Raw genomic sequence first — 26603 nt, 5'->3', positions numbered from 1 at the left:
CCATGCTTGACCCTCTCCCACCAGTCCATCCCCTACAGGCCCCTAAGAGGAGGGTCCCTGCTTGTCTCCTCTTTTCAATTCCGTAGCGTCCATGGTGATGGCAGGTCCAACTACTACAGGCCCCTCCTTGGGAGGCCTCCTCTCTTACCACACCTACCCCCAGCCTACATAGTCTTCTCCCTTTGGGTTAAGCCAACCTGACCTCCCATCTGTGGGGATGGGAATAAGGGTGTTTATAATTCAAGGAACCTCGATTGTCTGCACACAGGCCTACGATGACTCTCCTCCTCAAACACATTGACCCTGAGGTGAAAGAAGCTGTTGAAGGGTTTTCTGAATCATCCACAACAAAACAATTTCAAAGAATTGTGGCAGCCAAATCCATTTTGTTGTTTAGATCCCAATTTTTCGAAAATCCTCAATCCATGAATGACAGCAACCTGTGGGGGAAGGCGGGGGGGGGTGGAGGTGGGAGGAGTAGGGAGGGCCCTTAGGTCCTGGAGTTGGACACAGCCTTAGATGTGGCTTCACCCTGTCAAAGAACAAAATTTTCACACATTGAATTTAAAGGTCCAGTTGGCTTTTATTATCGATTTGTGAATCAGGCAGCATCTTATCTATAAAATAGAAAAGGTGCTTTGAAGAACCAAGCAGATGGATGGGCAGAAAAGCCTGGGGATAGCAAGATCAAGAAACATGAAGTGGCTTGGTCATTTCAAAGTTACTTTCCTTAAAGGGTTTATACACAGGGGACTTCCCTCTCATGCCTGTGCAGGTGGATGGGGACCCTTTTGATACAGGAGCTAGAAAGAAATTAGGCAGTTAGTGAGGGTAAGAGAGTCCTCAGCAAGGTTACCCTTTTAATAAAAAGCAGCCCCCGAATCATTTCTTTTCTAACAAAGAGTGGCCTGAAAAGTTGAGCTGCAAACATAGATAAGCAAACTGGAAGCTTGCATGGATGAATGCTGGCAGCTATGCCAATAGGAAAAGGCTACCTGGGGACCAGGCATGTTCAGCATGGAGGCTCCATCTTCCCTTTTCTTTGTCACCACGTGTACAGTAAAGAAACAGGCAATATGGCACATATCTGCATAATAAAAGATTAGGGTGGGGTAGCCATCTTCTTCGCACGTTATGTAAATGACACACCTGGTCCAACCAACCTTTGGGCCCTATGTAAATCAGACACTGCCTCCTCAAGATCATCTATAAAACCCTGTGCATTTCACCATGGAACCGGAAGACCTACTCGAGAATCCCCCTCTCTGCAGGAGAGAGACCTATTCTCTTTCTTTCGCCTGTTAAACTCACTCTGTGTGTGTCTGCATCCTCGATTTCTTTGGCATGAGGCAGTGAACCTCAGGTATCACCCCAGATGAATGACACCACTTCACTTTCAGTTGGTTGCTGTAAATCTCCTGATTTTTGGAAAACTGGCCCGTTTTAAAGTTCAGTTTGAGCACATGTCAGGTAGCACAAGTGACACTATTCTGGTTTGCTTTGGTCTGTTGGAGCCCAGTGGAAGGACTCTGTCCAAAGCAATGGCCTCCTATAAATTTTATTTAACAACCTGAGCCTGGGGTAATAGTGACCCAGATAATGGTACTGTGGCTTAGAGAGTCATTTCTCCCTAGTGGTCACTGTGTGTTTTACCAGACAGAACAAAGAGCTGCAGATCCAGGAACAGTGGTTAGCCAACTCAACAGCATTTCCCAGGGAGATGGCTCTCTGTGTAACAGTCATAATTTATCAAACATTTTTGGTCCTTCAGAAACATTCCTGTTTTCTTCTCTCTCCTCAGCACTTCCTGTTTCTCTTTCATTTGGAACTTTTTCTCCTTCGCTATGCCCATCTCCTTTTCTTCCTGGTATTTCTCTCGCTTTCCCTCTTCATTGCTAATCTCCTTCTTCTTCTCTTAACTGGTATCGTCTTTCATATGTATTGAATATGTGTCAGTGTTCCCTGTTATCAGTTTAAAAACTAGATCAATTTATACCCCAAATGGAGTGAACAGATTGAACAAAACACCTGATGCCCATTAAATCTGAATTTCAGATAAATAATAATAATATTTGGAATACAATTATACAAAAAATATTATTGCTTACCTGAAATTTAAATTTAACTGGGCATCCTGTATTGTATTCTCACAGCCCTGCCTCCACCTATAGCTCAGTGTGGGCTTCAAATCTTGTTTGTCCTGAGAGTCAGTGGCTCTTGCAAATAAAACCAGGTCCCACGAATTTTTTATGATGAACCTGGTAACTGTCTTACACTTTTTTTTTGAGACAGGGTCTTGCTGTAAACCCAGGCTGGAGTGCAGTGGCACTATCATGGCTCACTGCAGCCTCAGTCTCCTGGGCTCAAGGAATCCTCCCACACAGCCTCCCAAGTAGCTGGGATTATAGGTGTGCACCACCACACCTGGCTAATTTTTAGATTTTTTGTAGAGGTGAGGTTTTGCCATGTTGCCCAGGCTGGTCTTGAACTTTTGGGCTCAAGCAATCCTCTCACTTGGGCCTCCTGAAGTGCTGGGATTACAGGAGTGAGCCACCATGTCCAGCAGTCTCTTATAATTTAAAAAATGTGATCAATCAACATTTCCTGAACACCCCAAATTGCAGAGAGTTTTTGGTCTCTTGCTTTTATGTGACACCTACATCTTCCAGGAGCTTGTTTTTAAAGGCAGCTGGCCTTCTTGAGGCACTCTTAAGCCCTGCCATCACTGTGCCATCCCAGAAATTGGAGAAAGCTCAGGGTGCAGATTCCCAGGGTGGCTGAATTCAAACCGCAATGTCAGGCCCCTGTTAGGGAAGTTAAGGGAAAGTTAATTCTGTGGGAAGTGGGGAGGGGAGGAGTAGAAATTATAAGCTTTTCTTTCAATATGACATCTTTGCCTTGTATTTCCTGTACCTCAGGAATGACCGAAGGATTGGGGAAGAAAATACTCCCCCTGCTGATGCTCCTTTGGTTCTACTTGGGAGTGAAGCTCACAAGAGGAGGGACTGCAATAAACGTTCCCCAGATGATGCAGAGGTCTCTCTCTGCTGACAGTTAATACCTTGCCTCCAAGCCTGAATCGCCTTCCTGTCTGCGGGGTGTCTGAACGAACACAGCAAGATGTGCAGGTCACTGAGTTAGAAGAAGTCGGCAGGGCCTAAGGCCTTCTGCAAGGTGTGACTCTCTCCCTCCATACTGAGAACATTTTGAAGTGACTTCAGAGGCTGCAGGGCTTGGGAAGTCCCATGAGAACCGCTCCCCTTTCCCAAGGCACCGACATGGCCTGTAGCCAGGCATTGCTGTTTCTCAGCAGACTGATCCAGGCCAGGCTTTCTGCTCTCCCTGCTGGAGGACCGCCATCCTTATTGAATGTATTTCCAAGAAAGCAGTTGACGGGCTTGGCTGTGCTATTTCTGGAAATGTTCAATAGGCCATCTTCTGGCAGGGACCGCTGCTGATGGATGGGTCTGAAGGGGAGACCGAGTGCTCAGCGCCATCTCGGCCCCGGCCTATTCCCAGGTGTCTCTGAGCAACAGCCGTCCCCAAATACCACGGGCCGGCAGCTGGCGGGGGCTGTGGGCCTCTGTGGAACTTGCTTCCTCCCTGGCAGGGAAGCTGCCAGCAGGCCTACTGCTAAATGAAGACAGGCGCCCTGTGACTATAAATTACAAAACACATCAGCTCCGGCTGATGCACCGCATGTCCCGCAGTCAGTTCTGCAGGGGACACTTGGCCACTGCCAAAGGGCATTCCAGACAGTGGCTTTAACTCTTGTGGCAGCCACAGGAGAGAGGCCAAGCCTGTTGCTGGGCAGAGGAGCTCTTGGCAACTCCCAGAGGTTGCAATTGCTCTGGACTGCTGAGCTCTGTATAGACCAGGGCTTCTCACCCTCTGCACCATTGACATTTTGGACAACATACTTCTTTGTTAGGGGCCATCTGAGCATTGTAGGTTTAGCAGCATCTCTGTTATCTACTCACTAGATGCCAACATAATCCCCTGCCCCCCGCCCACCCACACACATACACAGAATTGTGACAACCAAAAACGCCTCCAGACATTGTCAAATGTCCCCTGGAAGGCAAAATCGCCCTTGATTGAGAACCACTGGTGTAGAGGAAAGAGGGTAGGGTCTGGGGTGATGGCAGAGAGAGGAAGATGCCAGTTCAGAATCTCCAGGTGAGCTGTGAAGCCAGGCAAGTAACAGAATCCTTTGGCCTCAGTTTCCTCATCTCTAAAATGAGAAGAAAGAGAAGGTCAAATCAAGGGAGTATGGCGATCAGCTGAGCTAATGTGTGTGGTGCACTTTGAGATGTATTTAAGCTCTAGGTCAAACAACGTAGGAATAGATGATCTAGTGCTTATTTTTTTTTTTTTCTTTTTTGAGATGGAGTCTTGCTCTGTCGCCCAGGCTGGAGTGCAGTGGTGTGGTTCACTGCTACCTCTGCCTCCCAGGTTCAGGTGATTCTCCTGCCTCAGCCTCCAGAGTAGCTCGGATTACAGGCACATGCTACCGCGCCTGGCTAATTTTTGTATTGTTAGTAGAGACAGGATTTCATCATGTTGGCCAGGCTGGTCCTGAACTCCTGACCTCAGGTGATCGGCCCATCTCAGCCTCCCAAAGTGTTGGGATTACAGGCATGAGCCACTGCGCCCAGCCTAGTGCTTAAATTTAAAGAACATGGCTCCCTTTGAAGAATTTAGCCGAGTATTTATAAAATTCCCCGTGACTCTTAAATTAAAACAAACAAATGCTTTAGAAAGCTTTTCTCTTTATTTTTTTTCTTCTGACTTCTAACAAGAATAAGTATGCCGTGTCTGCCTGAGGTTAATGTACATGATTTCCCCTAGTCTTCCTTGAAAGAGGCTTCAATTTTTTTTTTTTAAATCAACACCCTAGGAATTGTGTCCGTCCAATGAACAAACAGAAAGTAATGAGGGAAGGGAATGCCCCTCTATTTTATTCACAAAATTAGCATCCTTTTCTTTATAGTTAGTAACAAAAACTGGTAAGGAACCACCACAGCCCTATAGAAAGACACTGTTGCTTTAAATGAGCTTTGCTGTTATATAATTCTCTGGCTGATTTCACCCCTCCAGCTTTCAAGGAACTGTAAAGAAATCTCTAAAGGCTAATATTTCTCCTGTTCACACTGGCAGAAAAACACAAAGGAAACTGGTAACCTGAGCTCCCTGGAAGGTAAAAAAGGAAGAGCCGAGTCCTGGAGGACAGGGCTACATGTGTCCCTTCCCGTCTTGGGGACCTTGTCAAGCACCAGGCGGCTGCAGCCCTTCTTTACAGCACAGCCTGTGTTCTTTCGGAAGAGCCAAGGCCACATTTGCTTTGGGAAACAAGACACTGTGATTAATCAAGGAAAACAAAAACAGCTTCGTTTTCCATAATGGGCCCATGGAAAGGCTTTTCTAGGAAAAACCTTGATCAAGCTGTTCCTTCTATTTCCCTAGTGGCCAACAGGGCTGGAGGGGGAGCACGGGAGAGCAGATGGGGTGAGCAAGAAGGTATCCATGAAAGTTTATTCCCGAATGATCCCTTCCAGAAACAAGGCTTCATTATGTTCACTTGCCCAAAGCACTGAGAGCGCCCACCAGCTAACAGCAAGGGCCCCCCTTCCAAGGCCAGGCATCACTGTCCTGGCACCCAACGTGCCCACCCACTCCTACTAGATCATTCCAGTCAGACAGGGTTCCTTGAAGGGAGATTAGGGGAGTGACACTCCGAACCAAACAAAGGAACAAAGAAGGGTCAGAAAAGGCAGGCAGACTCGGCACTGTGGTAAAACGCTCTCACATGCTTACGTCACAGTTGCAATCACAACGTAATCCTTACACTGGTACAGACAGGCGCAGGGCTGGGATCGGGGTGAGATCAGTGGGGGCACTGCCTGTGGTGCAAAATTTAGGGGCACCAAATAAACGCAATAATCAAATAATATTTTAATGCAATATTTTTAAGTGAAAATTGGTGTCAAAAATCCAGGATGAACAAAATATCAAAATATTGAAATTTAAAATCAAGATCCAGTTTCACAGACATTGGGTGTACCTGCCGATCAGCACACACTTGACTTTGGCTTTGCAGGGCCTCCTTGAAGGAGCTCGGTAAAGCAGCGTGAGCAAAGAAGCCCTGGATTTGGAGACAGAAGAGCAGGGGTCTTTGTGCACAACGTATATCTCCCACCTCTCTGAGCTCTGTTCTCCTTTGCAAAGTGGGCTTAATACTCACCTGTCTATCTCACAGGGTTTGTTGGGACCAAATGAGATCTTGTTCATGGGAGCATTTGATAAACCATAATCTATGACATCCTTGAAATGGATAACAGAAAGTATAACCATAATACTGGTAATTACAGTAGTGGGTAAAACAGGATATTCTTGGAAAGGGAAGGGAAGAAGTGGCAGGAGAGAGGACAAGGAGGTCGGGGGGAGTAAGGGACAGGCAGTGTGGTGAGAAGTGCGAGGAGCCCAGATTCTGAAATCTGACCGGCATTCAAGTCTCAGCTCAGCTATGACAGCTTACTGAACCTCAGCCTGTTCTCCAACCTCTCTGAGCCTCAGTTTTCTCAGTCTTAAAATGGGGATAATAATAGATTGACCATGAAGTAATACGTGCATAGCACCTAGTGTGGTCTGCAAACAGCTGGGTGTTAACCCCTTCCATCACACACACACATAAGTGTGTACATGCACACCTCCCTGCATACCCCAGTCCCCATCCCAGAGTAAACAAAAAGAATCAAACTCTGTAAAATATTTGAAGAGATTTATTCCCTTTTTTTGACACGGAGTGTCGCTCTGTCACCCAGGCTGGAGTGCAGTGACACAATCTCGGCTCACTGCAACCTCTGCCTCCAGGGTTCAAGTGATTCTTGTGCTTCAGCCTCTCAAGTAGCTGGGATTACAGGTATGTGCCACCATGCCCGGCTAATTTTTGTGTTTTTAGTAGAGATGGGGTTGCCACGTTGGCCAGGCTGGTCTCGAACTCCTGGCCTCAAGCAATCTGCCTGTCTCGGCCTCCCAAAGTGCTGGGATTCCAGGCGTGAGCCACCACACACGCCATTGAAAAGATTTATTCTGAGCCAAATATGAGAGAGGCCTGTGACACAGCCCTCAGGAGATCCTGAGAACATGTGCCCAAGGTGGTCAGGCTGCAGCTTGGTTTTATACATTTTACAGAGACATGAGACTTCAATCAAATACATTTAAGAAATACATTGGGCTAGGCGTGGTGGCTCATGCCTGTAATCCCAGCACTTTGGGAGGCTGAGGCAGATGGATCACTTGAGGCCAGGAGTTTGAGACCAGCCTGGCTAACAGGGCAAAACCCCATCTCTACTAAGAATACCAAAAAATTAGTCAGGTGTGGCACGTGCCTGTAGTCCCAATTACTTGGGAGGCTGAAGCATGAGAATCACAGGAGGTGGAGGCTGCAGTGAGCCAAATAGTGCCACTGCACTCTAGCCTGGGTGACAGAGGGAGACTCTGTCTCAAAAAAAAAAAAAGAAAGAAAGAAAAAACAAGCAACAACAACAAAAGAAAACATTGGTTTGGTTCAGTAAGGTGGGACAACTGGAAGCAGGCTATAGGTAGATTGAAAAATTTTCTGGTTGAGAATTGGTTGCATTTACAGCAGGATGGCAGGGCCAGTCTCCACCCATGACTGAAACCCACAAGTCCTGCCCAGGGACCCAAGCTCTGGGCTCCTGCCCTTCCCCTCCAGATCTAACCTCCTTCCTGCACGGACAGAGGTCCCAAACTGACTGCGGGAGCGTGTCTTATTGAGCTCAAACAATGTTTTTCATTTTTTAAAATTACTTGCCAACATTTAAAAATTGGGAGATTCTTATAAAAATCCCAATTTCTAGCCCATCTATTAAAATCCAGATTTCCAGCTTGTCTAGAAATATCTAAATGTTCAGCAATTGATAACAATAATTCCCATGTACTGAGAATATACTCAATGCTGAGCACAGTGCTCAATATTTTAGTTATTTTTTCTCTTTAAACCTTCACAGCAATTCTGTACTCCCTCCCCATTCTACAGATGATAAATCTGAGGCTCAGAAAACTTAAATAACCTATCCAAAATACACACAGCTAATAAACAGCCTGGCTAGAGTTAAACCCAGGGGAATTTGACTATAATTCCATGCTTTCAAATTTATGTACTTCCCACCATCCTGGAAGGTATGGACTAAACTATCGGTTTTCAAAAGTGTTGCAAGAAGGCTCGGAGGCCCGGGCTGAGTATGTATGGGGTGAGGAAGAGGAAGCTGGCTCAGGCCCCAGGGCTCCTACTTTTGTTAGGGCAGGTCTTTTTTTAAAAACCATTTTACATACTGGAGTTCCCTTCAAGTTGTCTTTTAGAAAAATAATCTCACTGCTCTGAGACAAAACCAAAACAAAGCCCCAAGCCCTGGTGATCTCCACTTTACCTTCTCTCCATGGCACCATGATTTCCGGGGTCAGCAGGAAAAGCTCCTTCTTCTCCCATTCCCAATTTACTGACCACATCCCTATGTTATTGCATCACTTCCGGGGCTATCTCTTTATGTTACGGCATCACCTCCAGTTGCATCTTTGAGCAGCTGGGGCCTGATTGGGCTATGACTTACAACCCTCGCTTGGCCAAGTGTCCAGAGACTTGGGAGCCATGGAGCCACGGCCCTTCCTCTGAGACCCGCTGGGGGTAGACAGGCCAACACCAGGTGAGAAGTGCTGCAGTGGAGGGCAAGGGTGAGGGGGTGAGGATGGCAGAGGCTAAAAGCCACTGAGCCTGGTAGAAAAGATGCCCCCTTTTATCTGTCATCATGAATTTCAGTCCTGTCATGATTGTCTATGAATTGAGTGTTTTCTTTAGGGTGACCTCAGAGGAATTACAGTGTGGTCAGAAGAGCACCTGGAGGAACCTGAGCTGGGCTCTGTCACTGCTTGGCATTGCATGAACTTGGTCCTATATAAAATGTGCATGGCATCTCTCTATGTACCTCACCCACTAGCCCTGGAGACATAGGGAGACTAAAAGGCATAAAGTGGCATGTTAATGAATGTCCTGTTTTAATTACTTGCATATGGTCCGACAAGCACAAACCAGGAAAAAGTGAGAGCTTCCAGACCCTCTTTGAAGACAGGGCTGCTGGAGCTAGCCTTGTCACATGATGTCAGCCTTGGCATCAACTGCCATCCATGTGCCGATGACTCCCAATTCCACAACCCATCTGGATCTCTCTCCTGAGATTCTGACGGTGGTTCTTATGGAACAGCTCCCCTTGGCTGTACCCCACCACTCCTCCAGCAGCATTTCCAAAATGGAGCTCCTCACCACCTCTTTGAAACCTGCTCCTTCTGCAGGGTTCTGTGGTCCAGGAGCTGGTATCCTCAGCCATACAGCCCAGAAACCTGGAAGCCATTCTTGACTGCTTCCCTACCTCATTCCACACATCTGACAACAATCTCAAGATGTGGTTGGTTCAGTCTACCCCTTAAGGAGCTCTTGAATCTGTCTACTTCTCTCCAGCTCTAATGGATTAACTTGGACTAGACTACCCCCATCTCTGGCCTGGATGACAGCAACTCCAGCTGCTGGGTCTCCTGCTACTGGTCTTGCCCTCCCCATCCCACACCCCACCACCCTGCCTTGCATGCTCCAAATCCCCAAACAGATCTTTCTGAAACACATGCACAGAATGATGACCTTTCTAAAACACACATATGATCATCTTATCCTCATGCTTAAACCCTTGCAACAGTCAGTTGGGATAAAGCCCTAATGCTTTCACATGGTATAGAAGGTGAGCCCCCACCCATCTATCTGCCATCTCTATCTTTTTTTTTTTTTTTTGAGACGGAGTCTCACTCTGTCACCCAGGCTGGAGTGCAGTGGCACGATCTCGGCTCACTGCAAGCTCCGCCTCCCGGGTTCATGCCATTCTCCCACCTCAGCCTCCCGAGTAGCTAAGACTACAAGCGCCCACCACCATGCCCGCTAATTTTTTTGTATTTTTAGTAGAGACGGGGTTTCACCGTGTTAGCTATGATGGTCTCGATCTCCTGACCTCGTGATCCGCCTGCCTCGGCCTCCCAAAGTGCTGGGATTACAGGCATAAGCCACCGCGCCCGGCCTGCCATCTCTATCCTTAACAGTCTGTCCAGACTGAATCTCTTTCAGTTCCCCAAACACACCCCATTCTCTCATCCCTATTCCTTTGTGCATGTTTCTCTTTCCACTGAGAATACACTCCATTAACTCCCACTCATCCTTTGGGTCTCAGCTCAGGTGGCACTTTAACCGGGAAGCTTTTGCTGACTTTCCAAGACTGAGTTAGGTACCCATCTACTGCATTTCCCTGGGCACCTTGTCCTGCCTTCATGTTATACATGAAGTCTACATGCCATAATTCCTTGTTGACTTGACTGCTTTTCCCATCCAGCTATGAACTCCATAAACGTTAACGTGTAATTCTGTTTTCATTTGTATCCCCTGTGCCTTAGTCACAGCCAGGCACGTAGTATGTGCTCAGTAAATTTTATTTTTGTGACTAAAGTGCTCAGGCCATCAAAAAGATGAGTTGCCTTTTAGTAGAAGCATTAAGAGGCACTACTAGGAAAGAGTGTGCTTGCTAAAGCAAGTATTTCAGTCAGATGTGCAAATCAAACTGTGCTTTAACAATACCAAGAACCGACTATTAACACCTTGGCGATTTGCTAACTTCTCTGCTTCCTAGAAGTCTACGTATTTTGGAATTTGTTTGTAGAAGTTGTGAAACACAGTCTCCTTCGACATATTTAAGAACTTCCTGAGTTTCGCTTAATTTCTTCTTGCCAGACGGACATGGCTTCAAATCCTTATTTTGTATCCTCTGTGTTGTGACCTTCCTTACCCTCCACTCGTTAGCGGCCCTGGCATTGAGATCTGCCGACGGCAATATCTGATAAAAGCCTGTCATTAAAAGTGTATCTGTGCCTGGTGTCAAGAGGCAGCAGAAGCTGAGACTTTGATTTTTCATTTTTAATCATCGTTTTGATCTCCCTTTTACCCCAAGGTTTCCAAATTCTGGGGCTTTGTGACCTTTGGACGATTGGGTAAGCTATTGTAATTCTCATATTTCCCCACAGATTTTCTCTCATTTTCAAAAGAGACAAACTAGCAGATTCAAAATGCACTGAACCCTCCCTGTGTTACACTACAGGAAGTGCAAAGATCTGGATTCAAGTCTTCACGCTACTGTTTATAGGCTTATAACTGTGGGCAACCCACCTAACTTCCTTGAACTTCAGCTTTCTCTTCTGCAGAATCAGAATGGCACCAGCCTCCCACCTCACTCTCTGTCTTGCGCGTGGTAGGCAGTGAATAAATATTAGCGTCCTTCCCAAACAGTTCTGCTATTAATTATGCCCATGACCATAAAATGGTCCCTTTGGAACCTCCGCAGATTGAAATGATTTTCTATGATAATAAATCTCCACTGTTAGCAGGGGCAGTTGCCAGACAGTCTCGATGGCCACACTCACCCATGCTGCGAAAGCTTTTAAAGCTCCTATTAAATGATAGGATTGTTTGTTTTCGTTCCTTCAAAGTAAGATCCACATACTCTGCTCATTCTTGTGGTCCTGGGGAAGGGAAAACTTAATCCCACATAGAAGACTGAGTCACTGACCTCTCCCATTACTTGAACTGCCTATCTCCAGAATTCAGCTGGACTACCGTCAGGTGAAACAAAATCATGTGAGGAGGAGAAAGTGAAATGCCTATGGGTGGGGAGTTGATAAACTCTCAAGGCAGTGAAATGTAAGAAGCAAGAGGCAGGCTGGGCGCAGTGGCTCACACCCGTAATCCCAGCACTTTAGCAGGCCAAGGCGGACAGATCGCTTGAGCTCAAGAGTTTGAGACCAGCCTGGGCAACATGGCAAAACCCCATTTCTACAAAAAATATAAAAATTAGCCAGGTTTTGTGGCATGCACCTGTAGTCCTAGCTATTTGGGAGACTGAGGTGGGAGGATCGAGCCCAGGAGGTGGAGGTTGCAGTGAGCCAAGACTATGTGACTGCGCTCCAGCCTGGGTGACAGAGCAAGATTCTGTCTCAAAAAAAAAAAAAAAAAAAAGCATCAGCAGCTAGAGGCATGTCCATCTTAGCTTGGCAGTTGTATATCTTATAGATATAAAGACTGATTCCTTACCTTTGCCCAGCACCTGGGATCCTACAGAGATCCTTATTTTATTTTATGTGAGGCAGAGTCTCACTCTGTCACCCAGGCTGGAGTGTAATGGCATGATCTCGGCTCACTACAACCTCTGCCTCCTAGATTCAAGCGATTCTCCTACCTCAGCCTCCCAAGTAGCTGGGATTACAGGTGCGTGCCATCATCCCTGGCTAACTTTTGTATTTTTAGTAGAGACAGGGTTTTGCCATGTTGGCCAGGCTGGTCTCAAACTCCTGACCTCAAGTGATCCACCTGCCTCGGCCTCCCAAAGTGCTGGGATTACAGGTGTGAGCCACTGTGCCTGGCCCCTACAGAGATCTTTCATAGTTAGGATCTTCTTTCATCCTTACAACCATCTCGAGAGGGTGGCAAATTTCATTATACCCATTTTTCAAAAGAAGAAACTGAGGAGAATATACCCAGATCACACAAGCTTATTATGCAGAATGGAGCTGGGACTTCACTGGGGGCTTCCAGCTCCAAGAACTGTTCTTTCAATGACACTCACCTGCCTCTCACTCAGTTGAGGAAGAGGAAGGTTCCAATCAGCCTCACAGGGAACACATACTCAACAACCCCTCCACAGTGCCACTGAGGAAAAAGCACCAGACTGGGGGGTGGCGGGGGCACGAGGACCTAGGCTTCATTCCCTAGGGATGTCAGTTTCTTTATCTCTGCAAAGAACAGATTGCAAAAAATGTTTCCAAGTTCCCTCCTGTGTTTGTATTTCTTTAAGTGGATCTTTGGTTTAATGCATAGCCCAAATACCTGTGACATAGAAGAAATGCCTAAAAGATAAATCTGGAGTTCACCACAAGTTCAGCAGCAATTACGGTGTCTTTGACCTGATGTGACCACTATGGCTGAATTTAAAAGTTGGGATTTTCAGTCATGGTTTCTTGGAAACAGGCCTCACCAAACTTCAGTTAACCTTTCCACATCTCAGTTTCCTTATACGAAAAACAGGGAAGACAATACCTTCTGTACAGGAAAAAGGACTTGTCAGTCCTTCTCCCAGGCCATTCCCACCTCTTCCTAGCACCCCTGCCCCCAACCCAAGGGAAGAGGAGTTGCTAATCTGATTGGTCAGAGTGTGGGACCAGAGATAGCAACTTGTAGTTAGTAGACAGAGATGCCCTCCTTAGGAATGGTTCTCCTTCTCTCCCACTCTATGCATTCGGGTGGACAAGTGCACTCAGCCCCCTCTCTGATTCTCCACCTCCTCATACAAGTGACTAAGGAGATAAGTCATTTTATTTTCTCTGTCATTTTGTTGCAGAATTTTCTCCTTAGTTCAGCTAAAACCAGGTTCTTGTCACTCGACTGGGAAAGATTAGGCTCACGGGCACATAGAAGGGTGAGGAGAGGAATTTATTGGGCAAAAAGGAAAAAGGGAAAATAATTATCTGCAAAGTGAGAGAAAATCCTGCTAGCAGGATTCCCACCTCACAGATTGAATCCCAGCTCACCACACAGGAACAGGAGAGGCCAGGTTCCTCCTCGCTGCAAATTCCGTGAACTTCCCGAGGCCCCACCCCGTCCTCCCTGTGTGCAGGTGGGCGTTATTCAGAAAGAATCAGTCGGGAAATAGTAGGCTTCATCTGGGACCAGCAGTACGGTTTTTCAGCCTTCAGGCTGTTTTAGGCTTGAAGGCAGGGTTTCGCCAGGGACCTCTGGCTGTCTCCTGTCTCTATCAATTTTGTTATCTTTCCTCTCTGCATCCTTCTAGAAGGTACTAAGATCCCAAGGTTTAGATTCAGGAAGAAGTAGGAGATTCTGCTTAGGCCTTACAGCTTCTATTCATTTTTAGTTAAAACTTGTAATGGAGGTTATTGGATGGTGGCTCAATTAATAAAATGCAGTACTTTGTTATTTGACTTATGTCCTCTGCCTGTCTCTGGAGAACTGTGGTAGCCAGCCTCCCCAGACAGTCCCCAGTGAGCCTCTGCTCCTGGTATTCATACCCTTTTTTAGTCCCCTCTCACCCGTACCAGGGTTGATCTGTGTGATCAAAAAACTATGGCAGAAGTGCTGGTGTGTCACTTCTGAGGCTGGGACTCTGCAGCCTCCATCTTGGCTGCTCTTTCTCTTGGATCACCCTCTTGCCACATCCTGAGAAGCCTCCTGGAGAGGCCTCTGGGATTCCATTCTCAGAACGTACCCTTCATTGTCTTTATATGAATCATTGCTTGACATTCCCTTGCTCCTTTTTATTTTATTTTATTGTTTTAGAGACAAGGTCTCACCCTGTCACCCAGGCTGAAGTACTGTGGTAGGATCCTAGCTCACTGCAGCCTAGGACTTCTGGGCTTAACAGATCCTCCAGCCTCAGCCTTCCAAGTAGCTAGGACTACAGGCATGTGCCACCATGCCAGTCTAATGTGGTGTTTTTTTTGTTTTGTTTTTGTTTTAGAGATGGGATCTTGCTATATTGCCCAGGCTAATGTCAAACCCCTGGCCTCAAGTGATCCTCCCACCTTGGCCTTCTAAAGTGCTGGGATTACAGGAGTAATTATAGGACCCAACATGCTCAGCCTTTCTCAGTCCTTGAGGTCTGAGATGGACTATTTCTTACTTGTCTTTAAATTCTTAATGTCTTATGTGGTACCTGACTCATATTACTATCTCAGTAAATAATTATTCAGTAAAAGAAAGAAGGAGATTTAGTTTTATATTTAGCTTATAGTAATACTTCATATTTTAAATGTCAAAAGTGTAGGGTTTGAATTTCTTTTGGTAGAAAGCCAAATGTAGCAGTTTACATTAAATTTTATAGACACTACAGGTTGCTGAATAAGTCCACATGTGGAAATAAAAGAGAAGTCTAAGAAACCTCTTGGACTTAAATATGGGTTTTTGTATTATCTTCAAACCTGCCCTCTAATTTTAGTTCCAGCATGTATGATAGAGTGATCTCGTCTTCACAGTGGAGAACATTTTCTCCCTCCTTTGTCCATATGCCTAATTAAATTATATCCCACATTAATCAAATTATGCTTAATTATGCTGAATATTTTGGCCCCAAAGATATATTAATTCCAAGTCTCTTCGTGTTGCCACTTTGGGTCTGTTTTTACTCAATTACGCAATCCCCTGAGACAGTCAGATGTTAATTCCAAAGACTGAGGGTACCCTTAAGAATCACAGAATGGAAAGGAAATGGAAAGGAAAGGAAGAGAATGGAAAGGAAACCACAAAGGCCAGTTCCATCTTTAGTGGCTCCTAACTCTGGAATCTCAAGCTGGACCTAACATTGAGCCAAAGGCTCCAGGAAACCTGCTTCCCTCTTTGTGTGCATTTCCTCTCCTTCCCTTGAAGACAACGCTGTCTTCAGAAGTCGATCCACTGATTTATGTATAGGTATTGAAAAGTTCAAAAACGTTAAATCAGAAAGAGGCCACATTTATTTTAAGGGTGATTAAGAAGAAAAGTGAGAGTTACCCAGCCAAGAAGAAAGAGGTATAAATAGACATTATATTCATGATGTATCTCAAAAACAAGGCCCTCCATACAAATCTTTTATATACAAATTTAGCTATGTATGAGTGTTTAAGACACACACACACGGGGGTGGGGGGATAGTGTGTGTATGTGTGTATAATATGTATATATTTTTCTTTTCCGTTTTTTTTTTTTTTTTTTTGAGACAGAGTCTCGCTCTGTCGCCCTGGCTGGAGTACAGTGGCACAGACTCAGCTCACTGCAACCTCCGTTTCCCGGGTTCAAGCGATTCTCCTGCCTCGGCCTCCTGAGTAGCTGGGATCACAGGCGCCTGCCACCACGCCCAGCTAATTTTTTGTATTTTTAGTAGAGACAGGGTTTCACCATGTTGACCAGGCTGGTCTCGAACTCCTGACCTTGTGATCCACCCACCTCGGCCTCCCAAAGTGCTGGGATTACAGGCATGAGCCACCGTGCCTGGCCTTTTTTAATTTTTTTTGAAACAGAGTCTTACTCTGTCACCCAGGCTGCAGTGCAGTGGCGAGATTTCAGCTCACTGCAACCTCTGCCTCATGGGTTCAAGCGATTCTCCTGCCTCAGCCTCCCAAGTAGCTGGGACAGGCACATGCCACCAAGCCCAGATAATTTTTGTATTTTTAGTAGAGATGGGGTTTCACCAGGCTGGTCAGGTTAGTCTCAAACTCCTGACCTCTAGTGATCCGCCTGCCTCGGCCTCCCAAAGTGCTGGGATTACAGGTGGTAAGCCACCCCGCCCAGCCTATATATTTCAATCACTCACATCTTTGGTGTAGGGTATAATGTTTTCATATCCTCGTGAGATAATCTCCAAGGGAGACACTTTATCAGAGCACACAGTTCTATTTATCTAGTTTCTGAAGATTAGTCTCAGGGGCAACTTTATATAATAAATGTTGACTATATAGTACAAGTCTTCTTTACTTAAATCAAAAGTCCAAATTGTGACCCAGTAATACCAACAGTACCTTCTCTTCTGCACATGCTTGTAACTGCATATGTGGAGTGAGGGAGCCAATTCTTTTGAAAACGTTCATCCCTCCCTCTTTCTAAATGATTCTAGGATTTAGATGTGTGACAAACAAAAAGAAGAAAAGAAAAACCATTTTCTTGGAAGCTGCAAAGGATTGATCCCCACCCCCCCCCCACACTTTTTTTTTGAGAGCTGCAGAACACAAAAAAAATTGACGTGTTTCTAAAAAGCTGTGACATATCTATTAGCCACAGTCTTTTTTTGTGTGGTAAAAGAAACCAGCCACAAAATACTGCTGCTGCCAAACAAACAAACAAACAAACAAAGTGCTGCCTGAACCTTTTTTAACTTCTTCCTTTCTGAGAGGACTCAGTCTTTCTTAATCCTCATCAGAAGATAAGATCTTTGTTGCTTTGGGGTAGGTAGGCCAAGGGTGGTTTGATTGACTTTGTCACATAGATGTTGTCACAGAGATATCAGAGGTTGACAGTGTAGCTACTTGGTTAAAAATGACAACCATCTGAAGAAAAGTACACAAATAGTGTCTGCACTTTCTTGGAACTGGGAGTTGGCTTTCTTGGACCCTTCCCTCCAGCTTCAAAAAAGGAATTGCTAAATGCTCAATTTGGTGTTTGCCTAAGGGTGGCTAAACAAGCTGCCTAGTGAGGTGTTAGTTCTTATTTCTGAGAAGGAAAGCCTTTCACTCAGTTTGGTTCTAACAAAAACAAATCTACTGAAACCAGAGTGAGGAAGGAACTTATCAACAAAGGTCAACTAGAAAAAGTACCGATTCTGAAAATAGAGTTTTCTGCCAAAGCTTGGGAGCAACCGAAAGGCAGAAAGAGATCTTTTGGGTTCCAAAGAAGACCTGAAGAAATCCACCTATCTGACTGATCTCCAGACATCAGGGAGTGAAGCAAAATTTGTAGAGACAGTCCTTTCGAAGCATGGTAGGGGTTGGGATGTACCGGGGAGAGTGAGGGGATGAGATGCTCTTCTATTCACATGCTTCAAAAGTGGCACTTCCAAACCATATTTTTAAAAGTCACACGGATTAGGGGATCATGAAAAATGTTAGAAGAAGCAAAATGAAAAAGCAAGACGGTGAGCTGCGCAGTCCCATTCCTAGACTTGCTCCTTGATGTTAGAATATGACTAGGACTCTGATTTCTCCCGCCAATCTCCATAGAAACTCCAGTTACAGAGCCAGAACCAATGTAGGAATAATTGTATTCAAAGCCTTCCTTTGGGGGTGGAAATGACTTCTTTTGTTTATAGACTCATAAAGAACATCTGAACTCCACTAGCTCTTCCTCTTCCACTTGAAGAAAAAAAAAGGGGTTGGTTCAAGGTGGTGCACTAAGCCAACATGCTTTCTCCTTTCCAGATCCCAGTGAAATGTGATCCGTAAGATAAGACTAAGTCCTAGACATTACCTAGAAAATGCCAGTTGAGGGGAGCTGAAGAATTTCTGGATGGTAGCAGGCTGACAGGAATACCAAAGCACTGAGAAACACACAGTCCACCACAGTGAAGGAGGGGCCTACTGGATAAATAATTCTCCAGCCTGTAAACTTCACTGGGACAAGTCACCATCTGTTGTATTCATTACTGTATTATTTCTGCCTTGCATAGCTCCTGGCATAGAGTAGGTGTTTGATATTACTGTCAAATCTGAATATGCTAATTTTCTCAAGAGAAAAATCAACCCAAGGTCAACAGGACAGGGTAGAAGTGTATTGTAGGACGCTTGACAAGATAGTCGAAGTGCCAGGCCAGTGCCCCACCTCTCCCAGTGGCACATAGAGCAGCTAGTTATTGTGTTTGCTCCCAGGCTCTCTGAGTAAAGGATCAGTCGCGGGAGACCCTTAGAATAAGAACTAGGGCCAGAGAGAAAAGTAGAGCATTGCTCCAGTTATTATTGAACTGTTAATTAAGGAAAGACACAACCTGGGACAGGTGTGAAATGCCCTGAGGTGCTCTAAAAGGTAACTTTCCCTACTTGTTTATTTGAGGGCAACCTGCTGGCCTCCCCCACCTGCCCATGAACCTTGGAGTAAAACACATGTGTTACAGTTAGTCACCACATTTAGGGGGCAGACGTGGCAAGAGATGTTGGAAGGGAACCTAAACAATTGGTGAGGAAAGGAGACCAGTTACCAATGCAGATCAATTTATATTCGAAAAGGAATAACTGAGAATCACCAGACCTTAAAACCAACCTTATAGCCTGAAAGCTGAATGAGTAGAGAATTAAATTCTGAGGAGAGAGCAAATGCAGGCAGCCAAAGAGAACATTCAAGTAATTTTATTAAGCTTCCTGAGATAAAATCCTTATTAGATCCATAAAAAAAGAGCTGTAGAAAAAGTAGCAATCAGAGAAAAAGAAAGAAATCTTTAAAAACTAAAAATATGATTAACAAATTATAGAAACTCAATACCAGAAATGAAGTACAGAACAGATACAATCGAAAAGACAACAGTGATTTGGAAGACCAAATCAAGGTATTCTCCCTGAACATAGTGCAAAAAGCTACAGAAAAAAATCATGAGGAAAAAAGATAAAGAATATAGAAGATTCAGAAGAAAAAAATCTGCTTAATAAAAATTGTGGGAGATTTGGAGGCAGAGCAAGATGGCAGAATAGAAAGTGCCACCTATCTTCCCCCCAGCAAGGACACCAATTTAACAACGATCTACGCAGAAAAAAAACACTTTCATCAGAACCAAAAATCAGGTGAGCCCTCATAGTACCTGGTTTTATCTTCATACCGATGAAAGAGCCACTGAAGAGATAGAAAAAACAGTCTTGAATTGCCGATGCCACCCTTCCCCAGTGTGCTGTCAGGTTAGAGCAGAAAGGGAAACAGGACCAAACTCAGCTAACGCCCACCCATGGAGGAGGCATTTAAACCAGCCCTAGCCAGAGGGAATCGCCAATCCCAGTGGTCAGAACTTGAGTTCCCACAAACCTCACCACCATGGGCTATAGCGCTGTGTTTCTAAATAAACTTAAAAGGCAGTCTAGGCCATAAGGACTGGAAGACTGAATGAATCCTAGTGCTGAACAAGGCCTAAAGAGAGTGGACTGGGGGTGGGGCATGTGACCTACTGAGACACCAGTTGGGGCAGCCAAGGGAGTGCTGACATCACCCCTACCCTACCCCAGGCTACACAGCTCATGGCTCCAAAAGATACCCCTTCCTTCTGATTCAGGAGAGAAAAGGGAAGAGTGAGGAGTACTGTGTCTTGCATCTTGGATACCAGCTCAGCCACAGCAGGAAAGGACACTAATCAGGGTCCTGAGGCCTTCATTCCAGGTCCTTGCTCCCAGATGACATTTCTAGACATACCCTGGGCCAGGAGGGACCCACTCCCCAGTAACACTGTGGTTCTTGCAGACTCGTAGAGGTATTGCCTTAATGGTCTTGGACAAAATCTGGGAGAATTATCTGGATTACCAGGCAGAGACTCTTGTTCTCTTCCCATACTTACTCCTGTACTTTCCTTACTTGAAGGAAAGGACCCAGTCCTGGCAGCATTCATCACCTACTAACTGAAGAGCCCTTGGGCCCTGAATAACCAGTAGCAACACTCGGGTAATATGTTGGGGGCCTTGGGTGGGCCTCTGAGACTGGCTGGCTTCAGGTGAGACTCAGGACATTACCAGTTGTGGTGGCTGTGGGACAAAACTCCTTCTGCTTGAGAAAAGCAGAGGGAAAAGCAAAGGGAACTCTGTCTTGCAACTTAGGTACTAGCACAGCCACAGGGGGATAGAGCACCAAGCAGGCTCTTGGAGCCCTCAACTCCAGGACTTGACTCTTGGATGGCATTTCTGGACCTGTCCTGGGCCAGAGGGGAGCACATGGCCCTAAAGAGTGAATCCCAGGCCAGGCAGCATTCACCATAAGCTGACTTAAGAGCCCTTGAGCCTTAAGAAAACATAGGTGGTAGTCTGGCAGTACTCCTTATGGCCTGGAGTGGCAGTGGCTACAGAGTGAGCCTCCTCTGCCTTTGGAAGGGGAAAGGAAGAGGAGGAAGGACTGCATCTTGTGCACTGATCTGCACCTTGTGGTTTGAGTGCCAGCTCAGCTGCAGTACAACAGAATACCAGATAGACTTCTAAGGTTTTTGACTGTATTCCCTGACTCCTGTACAGCACCTCTGGACCCACCTGGTGTCTGGGGGACTTTGCCACCCTGAAGGGAAGGTCACAGGCCTGGCTGGTTTTGGCATCAAGTGATCGAAGAGCCCTAGGGCTTTGAGTGAACATGGGCAATAGCCACGTAGTGGTTACATAGGCAGTAGTGGTTACATCAGGCCTTTGGTGAAATCCAGTGCTGTGCTGGCTTCAGGTGTGATCCACAGCAGTCATAGTGGTGGTAGCCACAGAGGTTCTTGTGTCGCTACACCCCAGCTTTAGGTGGCTCTGAACAAGGAGAGACTGTTTGTTTGGTTAAGTACGGGAAGAGAACAAGAGTCTCTGCCTGGTTCTCCAGATACTTCTCCCAGATCTTGTCCCATGGCCATCAAGGCAGTACTTCTATGAGTCTACAAGAACCACAGTGTTACTGGGCTTGGGGTGCCCAGTGAAGCAGATATGGCTTAGATCACAACACCCAGGTTCTTTCAAATATCTGAAAAGCCTTCCCAAGAAGGACAGCTACAAATAAGCCCAGACAGTGAGGACTACAATAAATACCTCACTCTTCAATGGCCAGACACTAAAGAACATCTATCAACACCACCCAGGGAAACATGACCTCACCAAATGAAATAAATAAGGCATCAGGGACCAATCCTGGAAAAATGGAGATATGTGACCTTTCAGGCAGAAAATTCAAAATAGCTGTGTTGAGGATACTCAAAGAAATTCAAGATAACACAGGGAAGGAATTCAGAATTCTATTAGATAAATTTAACAATGAGATTGAAATAATTAAGAAGAATCAAGCAAAAATTCTGAAGCTGAAAAATGCAATTGGTATACTAAAGAATGCATCAGAGTCCTTTAATAGCAGAATGGATCAAGCAGAAGAAAGAATTGGTGAGGCTGAAGACAGGCTATTTGAAAATACAGTCAGAAGAGACAAAAGAAAAATGAATAACAATGAAGCACACCTATAGGATCTAAAACATAACTTCAAAAGGACAAATCTAAGAGTTATTGGCCTTAAATAGGAGGTAGAGAAAGAGATAGGGGTAGAAAGTGTATTCAAATGAATAATATCAGAGAACTTCCCAAACCTAGAGAAAGGTATCAACATTCAAGTACAAGAAGGTTATAGAACACCAAGCATATTTAACCTAAAGAAGACTACCTCAGGCCATTTAATAATCAAACTCACAAAGGTCAAGAATAAAGAATGGATCCTAAAAGCAGCAAGAGAAAAGAAACAAATAACATACAATGGAGCTCCACTATGCCTGGCAGAAGACTTTACAGTGGAAATGAAAAGAGAAATAGACCAGGAGAGAATGACATGACATATTTAAAGTGCTGAAAGAAGAAAATACACTTTTACCCTAGAATAGTATATTTGGCAAAAATATCCTTCAAATATGAAAGAGAAATAAAGACATTCCCAGACAAATAAAAGCTGAGGGGTTTCATCAACACCAGACCTGTCCTATAAGAAATGCTAAAGGGAATACATCAATCAGAAAGGAAGGAACATTACTAAGTAATCACCTGAAAGTACAAAACTCACTGGTAATGGTAAGTACGCAGAAAAACACAGACTATTTTAACACTGTAATTGTGATATGTAAACTACTCTTATCCTGAGTAGAAAGACTAAATGATGAACCAATAGAAAATAATAATGACAACAGCATTTCAAGACATCATCAGTACAATAAGATATAAATAGAACAACAAAAAGTTAAAAAGCAAGGGGACAAAGTTAAGGTGTAGAGCTTGTATTAGTGTTCTCTTTGATTGTTTGTTTGTTTATGCAAACAGTGTTGGTATCAGGTTAAAATAATGGGACATAAGAGAGTATCTGCAAGCTTTGTGGTAACCTCAAACCAAAAAAACATATAATGGAGACACAAAAAATAAAAAGCAAGAAACCAAATCTTACCTCCAGAGAAAATCACCTTCACTAAAGGAAGACAGGAAGGAAAGAAAGACGAAAGAGAAGACCACAAAACAACCAGAAAACAAATAACAAAGTGGAAGAAGTAAGTCTTTATTTATCAATAATAACATTGAATGTAAATAGACTAAACTCCCCAATCAAAAGACACAGACTGGATGAATGGATGAAAAAACAAGACCCATTAATATGTTGCCTACAAGAAACACACTTCACCTCTAAAGACACACATAGACTGAAAATAAAAGGATGGAAAAAAAACAAAAATCAGCAGGAGTTGCTATAGTGCCATCAGACAAAATAGCTTTCAAGCCCAAAATTATAAGAAGAAACAAAGAAAGTCACTAAATAATGTTAAAGGGGTCAATTCAGCAAGAGGATATAACAATTTTAAATATATATGGACTCAACACTGAAGCATCCAGATATATAAAACAAATATTAGAGCTGAAGGGAGAGATAGATCATAATACAATAACAGCTGGAGACTTCAACACTCCACTTTCAGCATTGGACAGATCTTCCAGACAGAAAATCAACAAAGAAATATCAGACTTAATCTGCACTGTAGATCAAATGGATCTAGTAAATATTTACAGAACGTTTCATCCAATGGCTACAGAATACACGTTTTTTTTCCTCAGCACATTGATCATTCTGAAGGATAGGCCATATGTTAGGTCACAAAACAAGTCTTACAACATTCAAAAAAATTGAAATAATGACAAGCATCTTCTCTCATCACAATGGAATAAAACTAGAAATCAATAACAAGAGGAATTTTGGAAACTTTACAAATACATAGAAATTAAACAATATGCTTCTGAATTACCAGTGGGTCAATGAAGAAATTAAAAAGGAAGTTAAAAAAATTTCTTGAAAGAAATGGTACCAAAACCTATGGGATGCAGCAAAATTAGTACTAAGAGGGAAACTTACAGCTATAAGTGCTTACATCAAAAAAGAGGGAAAACTTCAAATAAGCAATCTAACAACGCATCTTAAAGAACTAGAAAAGCAAGAGCAAACCAAACCCAAAATTGGTAGAAGAAAAGAAATAATAAAGATCAGAACAGAAATAAATGAAACTGAAATAAAAAAATACAAAAATCAATGAAACAAAAAGTTGATGTTTAAAAAAGTTAAACAAAATTGACAAAACTTTAGCCAGACTAAGAAAAAAAGAGAAAAGATGCAAATAAAATCAGAATTGAAAAAGGAGACATGACAACTGATACAACAGAATTTCAAAGGACCATTAGTGGCTACTATAAGCACCAAATGCCAATAAATTGGAAAATCTATAAGAAATGGACAAATTCCTAGAAAAATACAACCTACCAAAATTCAATCAGGAAGAAACCCAAAACTTTAACAGACCAATAACAAGTAATGAAATAGAATCCATAATAACAAGTCTCCCAGTAAAGAAAAGCCCAGGACCTAATGGCTTCACTGCTGAATTCTACCAAACATTTAAAGAAGAACTAATACTAATCCTACTCAAACTATTCTGAAAAATAGAGGAGGAGGGACTACTTCCAAACTCATTCTACAAGGCCAGTATTACCTTGATACCAAAACCAAAGACACACACACAGACACACACGCACACACAAACACACACACAACGAAAAACAAAAAACTACAGGCCAATATCTCTGATGGATATTTATGCAAAAATCCTCAACAAAACACGAACAAATCGAATTCAACAATACATTAGAAAGATCATTCATCACGATCAAATGGGATTTATCCCTGGGATGCAAGGATGGTTCAACATATACAAATTAATCAATGTGATATATCATATCCACAGAATGAAAGGTAAAAACTATATGATCATTTCAATTGATGCTGAAAAAGCATATAATAAAATTGAACATCTCTTCATGATTAAAAACCCTCAAAAAACTGGGGAAAGAAGAAATATACTTCAATATAATAAAAGTCAGATATGAAACACCCACAGATAGTATAATACTGAATGTGGAAAAACTTAAAGCCTTTCCTGTAAGCTCTAGAACAGGACAAGGATGTGCCCACTTTCACCACTGTTATTAAACATAGTACTGGGAGTCCTAGCTACAGCAATAAGACAAGAGGAAGATATAAAGGTCATCCAAACTGGAAAGGAAGAAGTCAGATTATCCTTGTTTGCAGATAACAGGATCTTGTATTTGGAAAAACCTAAAGACTCCACAAAGAAACTATTAGAACTGATAAACAAATTCAGTAAAGTTACAGGATACAAAATCAACATACAAAAACAGTAGTGTTTCTATATGCCAACAGTTAGCAATCTGAAGAAGAAATGAAAAAAGTAATCCCATTTACAGTATCCACACATAAAATTAAACACCCAGAAATTAACTTAGCCAAAGAAGCAAAAGATGTTTATAATGAAAACTATAAAACACTGATGAAAGAAATTGAAGAGGACACCAAAAAAAGAGAAAAATATTCTATGTTCATAGATTGGAAAAATCAATATTGTTAAAATATTCATACTACCCAAAGCAATCTACAGATTCGATGCAAACTCTATCAAAATACCAATGATATTCTTCACAGAAATAGAAAAAAAATCCTAAAATTTATATAGAACTACAAACAGAGCCAGAATAGTCAAAGATATCCTAAGCAAAAAGAACAAAACTGGAGGAATCACATCATCTGACTTCAAATTATACTATAAAGCTATAGTAACCAAAACAGTATGGTACCAGCACAAAAACAGACACATAGACCAATGGAACAGAATAGAGAACTCAGAAACAAATACACACACCTAGGATGAAAACACTTTTTGACAAAGGTGCCAAGAATATACACTGGGGAAAAGATAGTCTCTTCAACAAATGGTGTTAGGAAAACTGGATATCCATATGAAGAAGAGTGAAACTAGACCCCTATCTCTCACCAGATACAAAAATCAAATAAAAATGGATTCAAGACTTAAATCTAAGACCTTGAACTATGTTTTCTACTACAAGAAAACATTGGCGAAAATCTCCAGAACATTGGCCTGGGCAAAAATTTATTGAGCAATACCCCACAAGCAAAGGCAACCAAAGTAAACAGGTACAAATGATACCACATCAAGTTAAAGAGCTTCTGCACAGCAAATGAGACAGCTAACAACGTGAAGAGACAACCCAGAGAATGGGAGAAAATATTTGCAAACTACCCATCTGACAAGGGATTAATAAGAATATATAAGGATTCCAACTCTATAGGAAAAATCTAATAATTCATTCAAAAAATGGGCAAAAGACTTGAATAGACATTTCTCAACAGAAAACGTACAAATGGCAAACAGGCATATGAAAAGGTGCTCAACATTATTGATCATCAGAGAAATACAAATTTAAACTACAATGAGATATCATCTCATCCCAGTTAAAATGGCTTATATCCAAAAGACAAGCAATAACAGATGTTGGCCAGTATGTAGAGAAAAGGGAACACTCATACACTGTTGGTGGGGATGTGAATTAGTACAACCACTATGGAGAATAGTTTGGAGGTTCCTCAAAAGCTAAAAATTGAGCTACCATATGATCCATCAATCCCACTGCTAGGTATATACCCAAAAGAAAGAAAATCCATACATCAAAGAGATATCTGCACTCCTATGTTTGTTGCAGCACTGTCTACAATAGCTAAGATTTCTAAGCAACTTAAGTGTCCATCAACAGATGAATGGATAAAGAAAATGTGGTACATATACATAATGGAGTACTATTCAGCAATGAAAAGTAATGCAAATCCAATCATTTGCAACATGGATGGAACCAGATATCATTATGAAGTGAAATAAGCCAGA

The 26603-nt window shown here is 43.3% G+C and overlaps 1 protein-coding gene and 1 long non-coding RNA gene across 3 annotated transcripts in view; one reads left to right on the top strand and one right to left on the bottom strand.

The window, feature by feature from the left end:
* The window catches only part of LOC105369911 (uncharacterized), a 48642-nt gene extending 45323 nt beyond the window's left edge, over positions 1–3319 (top strand). The window contains exon 3 of the long non-coding RNA NR_135017.1: positions 2919–3319. This is a non-coding gene — a long non-coding RNA (uncharacterized LOC105369911). The remainder of the gene's footprint in view (positions 1–2918) is intronic.
* CRADD (CARD and death domain containing adaptor protein) overlaps positions 3444–26603 on the bottom strand; it is a 217466-nt gene continuing 194306 nt past the window's right edge. For both annotated transcript variants that reach the window (NR_135147.2, NM_001320100.2), the window contains one exon: positions 3444–4234. Coding sequence is in view for 1 of the 2 variants with exons in the window: in NM_001320100.2 (NP_001307029.1) it covers positions 4167–4234 (68 nt within the window). In the remaining variant the exon portion in view is untranslated. The remainder of the gene's footprint in view (positions 4235–26603) is intronic.

This window comes from Homo sapiens, chromosome 12 (assembly GCF_000001405.40).
Source record: "Homo sapiens chromosome 12, GRCh38.p14 Primary Assembly".
NCBI lineage: Eukaryota > Metazoa > Chordata > Mammalia > Primates > Hominidae > Homo > Homo sapiens.
Note: the sequence above shows the minus strand (reverse complement) of the source record. Positions and strands in the feature narration are given on the sequence as shown.